The 14,488-nt window shown below is 47.8% G+C and overlaps 1 protein-coding gene and 1 long non-coding RNA gene across 4 annotated transcripts in view; one reads left to right on the top strand and one right to left on the bottom strand.

The window, feature by feature from the left end:
• HORMAD2-AS1 (HORMAD2 and MTMR3 antisense RNA 1) overlaps positions 1-14,488 on the top strand; it is a 71,512-nt gene that overhangs the window by 41,339 nt on the left and 15,685 nt on the right. The window lies entirely within an intron of this gene.
• MTMR3 (myotubularin related protein 3) overlaps positions 8,051-14,488 on the bottom strand; it is a 147,695-nt gene continuing 141,257 nt past the window's right edge. For all 3 annotated transcript variants that reach the window (NM_021090.4, NM_153050.3, NM_153051.3), the window contains one exon: positions 8,051-13,289. In NM_021090.4, the coding sequence (NP_066576.1) occupies positions 13,118-13,289 (172 nt within the window). In that variant the 3' untranslated portion in view covers positions 8,051-13,117. The remainder of the gene's footprint in view (positions 13,290-14,488) is intronic.

Here is a 14,488-nt window from a genome sequence, read left to right as displayed (position 1 = left end):
AGGTGGCCTCTTACTGCTCTTTCCACCTCATCTTGCCTCGCCTCCCAGCACCCACTTCCATTCATCCTGGGCCCAGGAGAGACTGGGTAGCGCAGCGGTTGAGAGCGTGATTTCAGGAGGCAGAGGGGCCAGATTCAAACCATGGCTCAGCTGCTTCAACTTTCTGGGTGACCTTGGGCAAGGGGCTTAACAGCTCTACTGGCTCAGTCATCTTAGTTTCAAATGAGGCTGTCACAGTACCTCACCAGGTTAATAGGAGAATTAAATGTGTTACTCATGGAAAGTATTTGGACAGTGCCTAGCCCATAACAAATATTAACTATTATCATCTTGTTCCATTCTCTGTTCAGAAACCTCAAATACCTATAGAATTGGGACCAGTGTTTGGCCTGACATAGGAGACTTTTTTGGCCTAAGCTTTTAACAAATATTTCCTGCCTTTCCTGTTCGCTAACCCATGCCCTCTGGCTCAGATCCTGAAACCCGCCCACTTGCCTTGGCTCACCTTGACGTCATCATATTGCCATGTGTTGATGTCACTGCTATCCCCCAAGGGGCAGGCTCCCTGCTCAGATGTACATGTACTCTCTTCTTCCTCTGAGCTATAACTCCAACTAGTCAGTATCCAAGTTCCTGTAGCCACTAGTTGTGGAGAAAGCTAAAGTCATCAGACATGAAGAGTATTCTCTACACAACTCAACCACTTAGAAAAATCACTCTCCACTTAAACATCTCTTCCTCCTTAACATACTCTCCATCCACCATAGCCCAACTTCCCTGTTACGGATTGTGAGATGTTGAAAATACAACAAAACAGGCACCAAAGTACAATTTAAGTTTTGTAAAATATGCAGAATTTCACATAGTTGGTGAATGTGTTGGCAAACTGCTCAGATGAGTGTAGCCATTGGAAATAAGGATCGCAGAGAGTAGGTCCATTAACAAATGAAGGGGAAGGTGACATGTCTAACCAATTAGGTGTTTCCTAGGGGGATGATGTGAATATCAAAGACTAAAGGATTTAAGAGGGAAATTGAGGAAGCCCTTGACTAACTTTTCCTAAAATGATCCTGTGATTGATTACACTAGAAAATCAAACATGAAATAATGTCCTATTGTGCAATCATATAATTTGGGGAGGGAAATACACCTAAAATATTATTTTTAAGAATTAGCCTGGTCGGGAGTGGTGGCTCACGCCTGTAATCCCAGCACTTTGGGAGGTCAAGGCAGGTGGATCACTTAAGGTCAGAAGTTTGAGACCAGCCAAGCCAACATGGCAAAACCCCACCTCTACTAAAACTACAAAAATTAGCTGGGTGTACTGGTGCATGCCTATAATCCCTGCTACTCAGGAAGCTGAGGCACGAGAATCTCTTGAACCCAGGAGGCGGAGGTTGTAGTGAGCCAAGATCGTGCCACTGCACTCCAGCCTGGGCAACAGAGCGAGACTGACCCTCTCTCAATAACGACAACAACAACAAAGAATTAGCCTATAGTTGCAATTACCTTTTGTTAAAACATACTTTTAAACAAAACAGTGGGAGATACTGGTTAAAGGATAAATTTCAGTTAAATAGGATTAGGTTAAAGAGCTCTATTGCACCACAAGGTGACTTAGTTAATAACAATGCATTGTATTCTTGAAAATCTCTAAGAGGGTAGATTTTAAGTGTCTCTCATCACAAAAAAATAAGTATGTGAGGTAACGCATATGTTAATTAGATCGATTTAAACCATTACACAATGTATACATATTTCAAAACATACTGTATATTATATATAATTTTGTCGATTCAAAAAAGATACTTATTTCAATAATAGTTTCATTTTACAAGATTAAATTCGGATCAAACCTTTTTCACTATGTGCTGTATGAAACACTGGTCTCCATTTTCAATGGGTTGCCTCTAAGAGGCTTTTTCAGGTCCTGTTCTTTTTGGATGAGGGTATGAATATATTTATCTGCCTGATCATCTTCCCTAACAGGCAGCATATTCTTGAGAGCAAACAGTGCCTGAGACAGAAGTCCCATGTCATCTCATGGAATGGTAGGGGTGGGGACATGTGTGAGTCACCAGTGAAGCCTGCACAGAGACTTAGCCTTCAATGACTTACTACATGAAGGCGCCACAGAGCATATCCAGAGCTGTCAGAAGCCAAGACTCTCTGTGCATGCATTGGTTAGGGTCCTCAGCAATGAGGGGTGACAGAGTACCGAGGCAGAACAGGGCAGAGGGTTCCTGAACAGACAGCCAGGCCCTTGTTCTCAGCTTGATCTGGGCTTTTCAGGCATCAGCAGGGCCCTCTGAGGGCATGAGGTGCCTTGGAGGGCAGCAGGGTGACCCGGAAGACATGTGACTGGCAAGGGTGTTCTGGTAGGCCCAGGTAAGGAGAGGCAGAGCCCCTCTGCCCTTGCCTAGGGCAGCACACAGAAACCATGCCCAGTGGCTTTGGGTGCTCTAGCTCATTCCTGTCCAACCAGGGTCAAAGCTTCCTACGACGGAGTGTCATAAATAGACTGACGATGGGGCTTCCCCCAGTCCCAGGAAGGGTTGGTGGGGTGTCGGAATTCAATTACAATATGAAAATAAGAGGTGAACTTCCTACTTGGGGTTGAAGGATAGGAGGGCAAACTTGGCATCGGCGTTCACCCCTGCACTAGGTGCTGACTGCATCCTGCAACAGAGGATAAAAGCGAAGAGCAGACGTCGTGGCCTCTCAGTTCAGGGGAAGCCCCGAGGCATCTCTGGCTGACAAGGCTGAGCTCAGTTTTCAGGCCCAGAACTAGTCCCCAGGTTAATGCCATCGAACTGCGTGGGGGTGCAGGTGAAGCATGGCCACATAGACACGTCCAGATGGGGACACCTGATGCTCTCGCAGTCTCCCCAGGTGCCTGAAGGAGGCCTCTAGAGACTTAGAACTGTGGTATATAACAGGCCTCCATTTTCAGCACTTTAATTTCTGCATGTCCAAGGAAGCATGCGTGGAAGGAGGGCAGAGAGCTGAGCCTCAGAGCAGTAATGCCAAGGAAGTAGGTGAGAGGGCTGCCTGCAAAGTCTCACAGGCCAACTACAGAGGCAGAAGAACTGGCAGGAGGGTTAGCAAGGTGGCAGGTTGCAGAATGGTTGCAAGAAAGAATGCTTTGGAGTGGGTCTAGAGTGTGTGGCTAGTCCTTGGGGACACCCAGTGTTGGGGTGGTGGGGGGCAGCAGAAGCAGGAGGAAGAGGAAGGGGTGGTGGAGCAAAGACGATATAGAGCTGGCCACTCTTTCTATTCGTTTCACAGTGAAGGGAAGGAGCAAGACAGGATACTTGCTGGAGGCAGAGACTTGAAAGAATTTGCTCTGACTTGAAAGAATTTGCTTTGCAGGCTGGAGGACTGGACAGCTTTAGGGATAGAGGAAGGAGCCAGCCAAACAAGGTTGAAAGAAAAAGGCTAAGGCCATGGTGGATGTGGGACAAAGCCCTAGACCATCTATTCTGGCTGTCATTTTGTCACTTACTGAACCATTTCTGTTCTCTAACTCCAAAAGTGTGAGAATTTCTGGCAGAAGAATCTACACCACGGTTTACTCTGTAACAGACAACAAAAACAAGTAAAGCTTTGTTGCAGAGTATTTTTAAAAAACAAAACCAAGACAACTCACTAAAGGTGGTGAGTCAGTTACCTCTAGCAAGTGGGAATTTCACTTGTAATTGTGTACACTTTTTTTTTTTCTGGAGACGGTGTCTTGCTCCGTCAACCAGGCTGGAGTGCAGTAACGCGACCTTGGCTCACTGCAACCTCTGCCTCCCAGGTTCAAAAGATTCTCCTGCCTCAGCCTCCCGAGTAGCTGGAACTATAGGCGCGTGCCACCAGGCCCGGCTAAGTTTTTGTAAAGATAGGGTTTCGCCATGTTGGCCAGGCTGGTCTTAAATTCCTGACCTCAAGTGATCCGCCTCCCTTGGCCTCCCAAAGTGCTGGGATTACAGGCGTGAGCCACTGTGCCCGGCATTGTGTATATTTTTATGTTAATGAACAGTATATTTTAAAATGCAAAATACAATTGGAAAATTCTATAGTAGAACCTTTTGTGTAGTGAAAAAAGCCTCCAAAATGCTTCTGTAAATGAAGAGGTTCATGTACTGGGTTGCTCAAAGTCCCCTGCAGTCCCCACTTCTTGGCAGGACAAGGGAGTGCCAGGAGAGCACTTCCTGCAGCACTGCAAGCGCTCAGTTCCTAGGGGCCTGGCCTGTGCCCACTTCAGCAAAAGGAATGGTGTCTTTTTTTTTTTTTTTTTTGAGATGGAGTCTCGCTCTGTCGCCCAGGCTGGAGTGTAGTGGCACAATCTCAGCTCACTGCAACCTCCGCCTCCCAGGTTCAAGCAATTCTCCTGCCTCAGCCTCCTGAGCAGCTGCCATGCCTAGCTACAGCTTTTGTATTTTAGTAGAGATGGAGTTTCACCGTGTTGCCCAGGCTGGTTTCGAACTCCTGAGCTGAGGCAACCCACCCGCCTCGGCCTCCCAAAGTGCTGGGATTACAGGCATGAGCCACTGCGCCCAGCCATGTGCTGCTTTTTCAGAAGGAAAACAATCTCCTTGGAGTCACTCAGCACTGGCATCTCCAGCTAGTGCCTGCAGGATGGCCTCTCGGGCATTGCCACCTCCGGTGGCTACATGGGCCTGACCTGCTCACTGGCCTGAATGTGCAGTGGTGCCCAGGGTCTCCAATGCCAGGAGATCACATTAAAACCTTTGGGTATTTGGAAAGGGGAAGAGAAAGTGGGGGTGTGGGAGAGGAGGAAGAGCAGCACTACTGGTAAGAGTTGTGTCCCCACCTCCACCAAGCTTCCAAGATGTTGGTGCAGCAGGGAGAGAGGAAGCACTGCTCCCAGGCCTTTCCCCGACTCCTCCCACAGCTTCCCTCCCTGAATCAACCTAAGAAAGGTGCTGCAGGAGGGGCTCTTAGGATGTACACGGTTTCCAGAGGTGGCTGCTCCCTTTTCTGGGCTGTGAATCATCCTGTCCGTGGAGAGGGACTAGCTCAGGCTGCTTGACCCAGGGAGTGACCTCTCAGCTCCTCGGGGGGATGCTGCTGCTCCAAAAGTAAGGGGGCAGGGAGAGTTCAAGCCCAACCCCCTTCCTCCCAACCCAACTAGGACTCCTCTCCAGGGGTCAGTGGCAACTGTCGAGAGGCACACCATTCTCATGGTTTCCATTTCCGTCTCCTCATCCCAGTAATAGAGGCTGGCAAGCTGACATCTTACTGTCTTTCCAAAACTAGGAGTCTCTAGTTAGGCGGTAATAAGGCAGCAGCTAGCTAGCTAGCTTATTACTGAATCAGATGAAAGAGAACAGAAAGAATCAGACCACCCCCAAGGGGCCAGGGGATGCAGTTTATGTCCCAAGGGCTGACAGGGACTTCTAAAGAGGGAGCTGCCCTGGTACACATTGTATGCCAGCACTTTCTGGGGGACTTGAAAGAACCTCCAGTTCTAAGGCTTGATCTTCCAGCTGGCAAAGTGCAGCAACCACTTACTACAAACTCATGTCTATTTGAACTCGGATGACATGGCCTTAAATATGTTGGGCAACCTTGGGCTCCTCTGTCATTGGAGAGGGTGGGGAGGGCCATCTGAACGCAAGGCCTCCACTTCCTCTTCCAACCTTGGGCTCTGGGATTTATTCTTAAAGAGATGCTAAGAGCACCATAGCCTGGACCCAGGCCTCTGTGATGCAGAGGCGAGGTCCACCTGGCTCCACCTTCCCCACTTCTCAGCCTGCGAAGCTAGTCTGCATCTTCTGGCTTCGTCTTTAGTCTTGAACAACTTAAACTCATCAGTTTAACAAAGTGAGGTCCTGTCTGTCTTTGCAGGATTGTTGCCATGGCAGGACTCAGGCGTTCTTAGATGCTGCCTCAACCCCAACAAGCAGTTTCTCTCCACACTCCCTTCCCATTGGCTCCATACACTCTTAAAGCATCGGTGCACATGCAGACCACCATCTGTTTACAAAATGTTAATTTAAAAACAAAACACATATATAAGGCCAGGCACGGTGGCTCACGCCTGTAATCCTAGCACTTTGGGAGGCTGAGGCGGGCATTTCACCTGACGTCAGGAGTTCAACCAGCCTGGCCAACATGGTGAAACCCTATCTCTACAAAAATACAAAAATTAGCTGGGCATGATGGTGGGTGCCTGTAATTCCAGCTACTCAAGAGGCTGAGGCGGGAGAATCACTTGAATCTGGGAAGCGGAGGTTGCAGCGAGTCGAGATCGCGCCACTGCACTCCAGCCTGGGTAACAAAGTGAGACTCTGTCTCAAAATAAATAAAACTAAAACACATATATGAACTTTAGTTTGTCTTCTTCAGCTAGTGATTCATTTGTAACTTAGTGCAAAACTCAGATTGGAATGCTTCAAAGTCAAATGTTTTCCCCTGTAAGGTGGAAGCGAGAGCAGGGTCTAGTTTCAACACACAGTGGAATAGAAGTGCTGCCTGGCTCTGATTGATTGTTCCAAATGCCTGCTAGAAGCCAGAGACAGAAATGCTATCATCTATCTATCTCATTTCATGGGACAGTGGGGAGGACAGCATTTGCTAGGCCCCCACCTTCCCACTCCATTTATATGCCATGTGCTCTGCTACAGATGAGGAAATGTCTCCGAGTTCCTCATACACCCATGAGCAACTCAGCTGGTGCTGCAGGGCTAGGATCCCACCCCAGGTCTGTGGGCTCTAAAACACAGGGGCTTTCCACCAAACTGGTGATTTTCAAACCAACTTTTGTGGCACTGCCTCAGGAGAATTTGTCCTGATATTAATAAATAATGTCCTGATAAATATTAATAACCGTCTTTTAAACTATATACACCCAAAGGTTTAAAACACATTCAGTGAGGCTGCTTGAGACTTCACTGTACAGTCTGTATTGCTGTGTGTGTGTGTGTGGCCTTTGCAGGGGTCACTGACTGGGAGGGCACCAGCTTAGTGCTGTGATCATTAGGCCCAGGGCCAACTCAGACCTGGTGGCCCTGAGCATAAAGTAATTTTAGTGCTTATAAATCTTTGGGTGTCTCTCATCTGATATATGGATGATAAAGACTGAAAGCAGGTTTTGGATATTCTTCTATTAATCCCTTTTTTCAGGCATGTACTTCAGTTTTGTCAACAAGAGATTGCAGGCAAGCTGTGACTACTACCATTTGCAACCGCTTACCTATAAAACTCAAATTTTTTAAAATTAAACTCCCCCATATTATATAACAACTAAAACAAAATCCAGAAATTGGATGCTGGGACAGTTCACAGTGAACCTATCATCTGCACTAATGAAAAATGCTCCCTCCCCAAGCCCACTGATTTTAAGATGTTATGACTTAAACTGTGATGATTCATGCTAATAACATATCATTTGTTTTTATGTATTTGAAAAGTTAAAAACAAAAACACTGGATTAGACTATCACAACATTTTGATTTTGGTTAAGAGGGAGAGAAGGGCTCATAATTCAAGCCTTGTGATGGCAATTGCCTAAGCTCCTCGCTGAGATTTCAACGAGAACCAATACAGCTATTTACATCAGGCTTTCTGGAGGCCCAAGAGCACAAGAAGAGGGTTAGGAGTCGGGAAAGTATTTTCCTTTTTTTATGGGACAGGGTCTCCCTCTGTTGCCCAGGCTGGAGTGCAGTGGCGTGATCATGGCTCACCACAGCCTGAAACTCCTAGGCTCAAGAGATCCTCCCACCTTAGGCTCCCAAGTAGCTGGGACTACAGGTGTGCACCACCATTCCTGACTAGTTTATTCATATTTTTTGTAGAGACAGGTTTATTTATATTTTTCGTAGAGATGGGTCTCAACATATTGCCCAGGCTGGTCTTGAACTCTTGGGCTCAAGTGATCCTCCCACCTCGGCCTCCCAAAGTGCTGGGATTACAGGCATGAACCACTGTGCCTGGCCAAGAATGACTTTTATTCAAATTTTGCTGTTAACTCATTGGTAATCTGGATGTCTTTGGCCCTCTCTGAGTCTCAGTTTCCTCAATGAAAAAGGAGGAGATTGGATTAGTGATTTTCAGACTTTTTATTTTAAGAAACAAACAAAACCTTTCTTCATACCAGATCTTACTTTTAAATCTAATAAAGCTTTGAATGGGCCTGGAGGCTCCCTCTCCACGAGGCCCCAGAGAACAGTATGAAAACCGTGGAAGTAGGTGACCTAAGGTCCCTTCCGCCTCTAAACATCAGGAATCCATGAACCCTGCCTCTGGAAGATAAATAGTGACCCCCCCCCCGCCCCCTCCTCGCTGAGAGCCCCTCTCTCCTAAGAGGCTGAGCTGATTCATACCCTGCACCTACGACACTGGATTATAGCACTGGCAGGAGAACCACAGTGACAACCCAAATCCAGGGGCTCAACAACTGTTTGTGGGTGAAAATGACAGATTTATTCAACTTAAATGGTCACCGAGGCTACAGCAGAACCAATGCTGTTACAATAGGCAAGCACTACTGTCAGCAGCAACATACCATTTATTTCTTCAACAGCATCTGAGCCTCATGGGTTATGTTTTCATTAAAAAAAAAAATCTTATAAGCTAGTTGGGAAGCTGTTAAAGGCCAATTTTAAATGGCAATGTAAAACAAATTTCACTGAAAATACAATTCAAATACAACTGCTATGAGCACTGTAAGAAAAACTGACTAGTTACTCAGATATAATAGAAAAGACCTTAAATGGTAAATAAAACAATAGCAGCATTTAAAAACCTGGTAACTCCCATTTCAGAAGACGCCCTTCCCCTGCCCAGACCTTCATGCCTCTGAACACCTGCCTAGCCTAGGAGAGGCCTGTTCAAGCAGGGAGGCTACTGGTATCTGCACACAACATGCAGATGAGCTCTACACCAGCCGAGAGGAACAAGGCTTCAGTGCAGTTGTGTGCTGGGGACAGCAGGACTCGTGTTTAAGTGTCAGAGGCTTAGAGGGGTCAGCTCTGAACTAGAAGTCTCTCACATATCTGGTCCTGCCCTTGAGAAATCTTGTCAGTAATCTCAACTTAGAACAACTTTCTGGAAAATGTGACTAGAAATTAAACAGCTGGGACTCCTGCCACATTATCCAAAAGTCCAAATGGATAGTCACTTTGCTCCACAGCCCAGGGTCCACTTTAAATTCTGCTGTTAGCCCTCACCTACTGCAATCAGGTGGATACAGCTGCAGCCCTGGGGACAGGTCACTTGAACTGGCAGCAGCTAAATGAAATCCTGCAACAGCACCTTCAAATCAGCCCTCATTCCCAAAAGATCAATAGAGGTCAGGGCTAGAGTTAACTTCAACAGGCATGGGATCTCCCAGCCTCATGTGCAAGCAGGCAAGTATATCAGGATATGCCTTTAATTCTCATCTTGATGTTTTTTAATAGCCAGAGATTGTTTAACAGGTCCTCCAGCACCTTCTGTTCATTCTCCTTTAGATCTACCACAGTAACATTCTAATTCATAGAATATTCTTTGCTAACATGAAAAGAGTTAGCATATAAGCAAAATTATTACAGGAAAACTTTTCTGTACATCCTCATAGAGAATCTCAGTGGATTAAGGCAGCTGTAACTTGTTTTGGACTGCAGTTACAGAGGCCAAGGTATAGAAGAAAGGTAACGAGAGTGCCAGGATAGGAAAGTTCTGAGATGAAGACAACCTGGCAGCTCAAAGTCACAGTTCATGCCCTGTTGCTTCAGACCAAATTCCCTCTACAGCCTGAAGCAAGCTGGCCTTGCCCACAGAGAACTGCCTTTCTCCATATGCAGCCACCTCCCTCAGGGCAATTCCTTGCCTTGGATCCTCACTGCACCTGCTTCACCAGCATCTTGGCTCTTCATCTCCCTACCCCCAGAGAAGCTTTCCATTTAGGAGCTCGCAACGCCCTTCCTAGGCCATGCCAGTGTTTTAATTTGCTGGAGACTAGCCCACAGGAACAATAGTGGCTGTGTGTAGACACGATGGCCATGGCACACACTCATGGTTTTCACAACTTCATATGAATACACAGACTGGGCTGCCTGGCGGACTGAGGGTAGCTGAGATGGCACATTCTCCTTCCACAGAAGAATGATTTCTTGTTTTCAAACGCCTGCTGGGTGGCACTTACGGCTTTCACACTAGAACCAGCTCAGCTGGCTCTTTGTGTTTGTATACTTTAGGTAGAAGGTACATTCAGAAAGTGACCCTAGAGAGACTGCCCCAAAGAGTGAAGGCCTCTGGGGAGCTCTGAGCAGGTCACTCTGGATCTTAGCCAACTCACCACAGATGCTGGGCTGGCGCCTCTGGAGCAAGGCACCCCTCAATACCAACCTTCCCGAGGGAGGAACAGCATAACATATCTCACCCACAGACCCATGTGATGGGAGGGATGCCCAACAGTGCTGTAGGGTAAAGAAAAATCTACCTCTGTGAAGAGCAAGAACTAGTATTGAAGTGACTAGATGCCACAGTCCTGCTGTAAGAGCTAAGGAGCAGAGGTTCCTCTCTGTGTGGAGAGAGGGCGGGAAGGAGACCTCTAGTTGACTGCATAACCCAATCACATCTAATTCCATTTCTGCCCCCAGTTCTCTCTGCCCACCCATAGTCTATCCTTCAAGAACAACAGGCAGAAGCATTTTCTCACCCCCACCCCACATCTCCTTCCACTCCCCGACTGAAGGGGCCAGAGTACTGGCTGCCCTGAAATCAGAGCAGCAGCTAAAAATGGAGCCTTGAGGCGAGAGGTAGTTGTAATGACTACTGATGGGAACTCTTCAGAGAAGGAGGAATAGCTGCCAGGTCAGATCCCTGACTGCTTTGCCCTCTTTTAGCCTGGGAGATTTTAGGAGCAAAATCACTGAGGAAATGCGTTCAGTGCTTGAACATCATGGTGAGGCTCCTTGCCAAGGTCTAGAGTCGGAAGGCTATCTGTAGCTTTCCTTTGCCAAAGGTCAGTTTCCCAGCAGGCCCTCAAACACTTCTGTGTGAGAGGGAAAAGGGACGAAGAGGGGATAAACCACAGGGCAAAGAATTAGGAAGTGTTAGCAAATGCTACCATGTGGAACACTCAACTTTATTTGCTTTATTTATATATTTAACAATTCTAAAGTATTTACTTCTTGCTTTGACAAAAAATGAAAAATATAGGAGCACTGACTGACTCCTCTTTAGGAGAAAAGGGTTATATGTACAGCTATGGAGAGTTACGGTTCCTCCTTTAACAAAGGAAAATATTAATAAAAAAGTGCTTCATCGATCAAAAAAGAGCTAAGAGCTGCAAGCATTTATTCACACTGTACATCAGACCCAAGAAACCCGTATCATAACCTCTTGGCACCTGTCACTAGGAAATGCACAATCTTCAATTAGACCAACTTTTTCCCTACCTGCACGACTAGATGACACAGAATGTGGAAAAGAACTACACCCTGTTTCACCACGTTCAAACTGTGTTGCCACTGGAAGTCAGAGACGTGCTCAGATGCTCTGGGCTTTGCCTGGACTGAGAGCACCAGGGAAGCCTTCTGGGCCACGCCTTAACCACACCCAGGCATGCACAGAACCACCTTCCTGAGACACACCTTGCCCTTGGTCAGGGAACTGCTACCAAGGGGAAGAGGAATACAGGGCAGGGCCAGAGCTTAAGCATTCCCTGACCTTACCCCTAGTCCTCACCATGATCCACCCTGTCACCAGTTAGCAGCTTTCAGCAGAGTCAAGCATGGCCTCCCCAAGAGGGAGGGCAGGCACAAAACATGGATGCCAAGATTACAAAGCACAAACCTAACTCTTCTCCAACCTTCCCCACACCTACCTCCACAAATATTCTTGATTTAAGGCTGTTTTTGGACCATATCAAAGCTCACTGAGGAAAGGTGCCCTGAATCTCCTCAAGGCCATGTCACTTCTCTAAGGAACCCTACGAAGTCACCAAGTGGCCCTTCACTGCTGGCCAGCAGCCAGACAAGTGCCCACTCAGACAGCCAGGAGTGGCAAAGGGGGACTGCTCAGCAGTTATTCCTGTCCCAAGAAGAGAAGAGGAGAAAGGCTGATTGTATGGGACCTGCTCCCTTTTCCAGGGGCTTGTAACTCTAAAGGCTGATTCTACCCCTTAAAGGGAAGATCCATGATTGGTTTGGTTTGGGAACGGGGGATTTCTGGAACCCTGAGTCTGGATTTCCCTGTGCTGGCTGAGGAAGAGATTGTTTAGGGGACCAGGCCCCAGAATGGGGACCCAGGTGTGTCTGGGCTCAGGGCAGGCTTTGGCCTTGACTGCATAAACATTTTGACCAGTCTGTACTCATGCCTGAGGGTGGGAAGTGCTACACAGCCTGGCCCAGGAAAGCAGCCCCCTGAAAGTAAAAGGAGCCCAAGACAATCTGGGTCAAGTTAAAAATGGGATCCCACGGGGGACAACATGACGGCTACCCACTCCCAGCCCCTCGCCTGCCTCAAAGGAGCATCCACTTTCCTTTCCCAAAGAGGCGCCTAAGGGGATGCCATTTACCGTGTGCCTCTCCCTCCAAACATCAGCCTCATTTATCCATCTGTGAGGGGACTGGCTCAGCTCCTCGCAGGAGGGAGATGATGCCCAGGGCAGTGCTCTTGGGGAATATGCTTCCAGCCTCCCCAGCAGCAAAGGGTTCCCAACCAGCTCTGATGTGGCGGTGGCGTGAGGAATGGTTGCATGTTAGCACTGGCTTTCTTCCCTGCTCACGGTCTCAGATCTCCATACTCCTGGCTCTGACCACCATCCTCCCACCCGGAAGAAACAAGCCATCCCTCAGTGTCACGTGACAGCAGGCAGCTCGGCAGTTACAGTGGGCCTGGCAACCCTTGGTCTTCCATCAAAAAAAAAAAAAATTAAGACAACCAAGGGAAAGTTTCCTTTTTTGAAGGCAGAGGAGGAGGATGGAAAAGGTAGGGAGGGAGTAGGGGGACAGGAAAGAAAAATCAATCTACAATCCAGTGGTGCATCCCAAATCTGTCACTCTGTACAGGTGGTTCCACGCTCCCATTCCAAAGTGCACGGGCCTCTCGGTCTGCCCAGGTTGAGTGGGCCTGTCATAGGAACAGCAGCTTGGCCACTGCCCACCCAGGTCACTGAGCTTCAGTTGGAAGTGGCAGCAATGGGCTTATCCAGTTCAAGGTCAATGCTGGAGCTTGTGGGATGTAGGCTGCTATAGCAAGACTTGCATACTCGACTGGGTTCAAAGAGCTGCTGGCTGGGAACTGGAACCTTCTGGTTACAACAACTGGAGCAGAATACGTTCCCACAATTCCTTGAGATGAGAAGAAACAGAACAATGTTAGTTTTGGCCAGCAGGTATGCGGAGGGAAACCAACTTCAAAAGACAAACTTTGCCGTGTGTAATTTGCATGTGCTGGAGCTCCTTGAGATCAAACCCTTTCATCTCTCTAGCCCAGGAACAAGCTGGGTAGGGAGGGTGTCCCTACCTAGCAGAGTCACATGTCATTTTCACTTTGGGGCCAAGGATTCTTGGCTGCCTCACCACTGACTCAAAAGAATGCTGCTCAGGTATACAAAAGAATGCTGCTCAAGAGAGATCTGTAAGAATACATGGTCCTAACAATGGGTTAGTCCTGATCCAGGAAAACCCAGTGGCCACACCCACCTAGGCAATGCCCTCTGTGTAGCTTGTGATCACAGAGGCCAGGCTCCTCAAACGAGAGAAACAACTACCCAGCCTCACTGGGGAGTAAGGAGCCTTGCCCAACGGCCACTTCTCCAGAGGATCAAAGGCAGCAACATGGCAGATAGACTGCTGCCATTTTGGACTGCTCTGCTGGCAGCATGCAAAGCCAGGGACAAGTAGCCTGTGATGCATGCTCAGAGGGTGAAAGAGGAGAGGTGGGAGGACAAGAACACAGGATGAACACACGTGCACACACACCCCCTTATTAGATAGGTGTCAGTCAATTATGGCTCACTCCCCGACCCATGCATCTCCAGGGAAAACCAGAGTTCTACCAGAAGGCCAGAATGCACTCAGGCCCCAGGCATCCCTCTCCTCCTCCCCTGAAAGCTGGGTTCTGAGGCATCTGTGCAGCACAGTTCTGCACCCCCAGATGGATGCCCATCAGAGCCAACAGGAAAGGGAATTGGCAAAGAATGAGTTTCTGCCCACCTTACAACTCTACTTTTGCTGGGCCCTGAGGTACAAATCAATCCTAATGAGCCTAAGAACAAGAAGCTCCAAGGAGCCTGACACAGCCCACCAAAGACTGGGGGAGGGCAGCTTCTTAGCCTTCTAACTTTTCATTTATGCTGTTCGGAATGCAAACCCACTGCTGGATTAAGGATCACTTAGGCACAGGAGGAGAGAAGACTAAGACCAGTTGGGAACAAAAGAATACCACAAAAGGAAAAGGTGGGACATGGGGCAATGGAAAGACAGAAAAGAAAAACACAAAATTCATCTTCTAGAATGCTGTACTTCGTAACTAGTTCTAAAAAGCG

The sequence above is a fragment of the Homo sapiens genome, chromosome 22, assembly GCF_000001405.40.
Source record: "Homo sapiens chromosome 22, GRCh38.p14 Primary Assembly".
Taxonomy (NCBI): domain Eukaryota; kingdom Metazoa; phylum Chordata; class Mammalia; order Primates; family Hominidae; genus Homo; species Homo sapiens.
The sequence above is the reverse complement of the archived record's forward strand: the minus strand, read 5'-3'. Positions and strand labels throughout refer to the sequence as shown.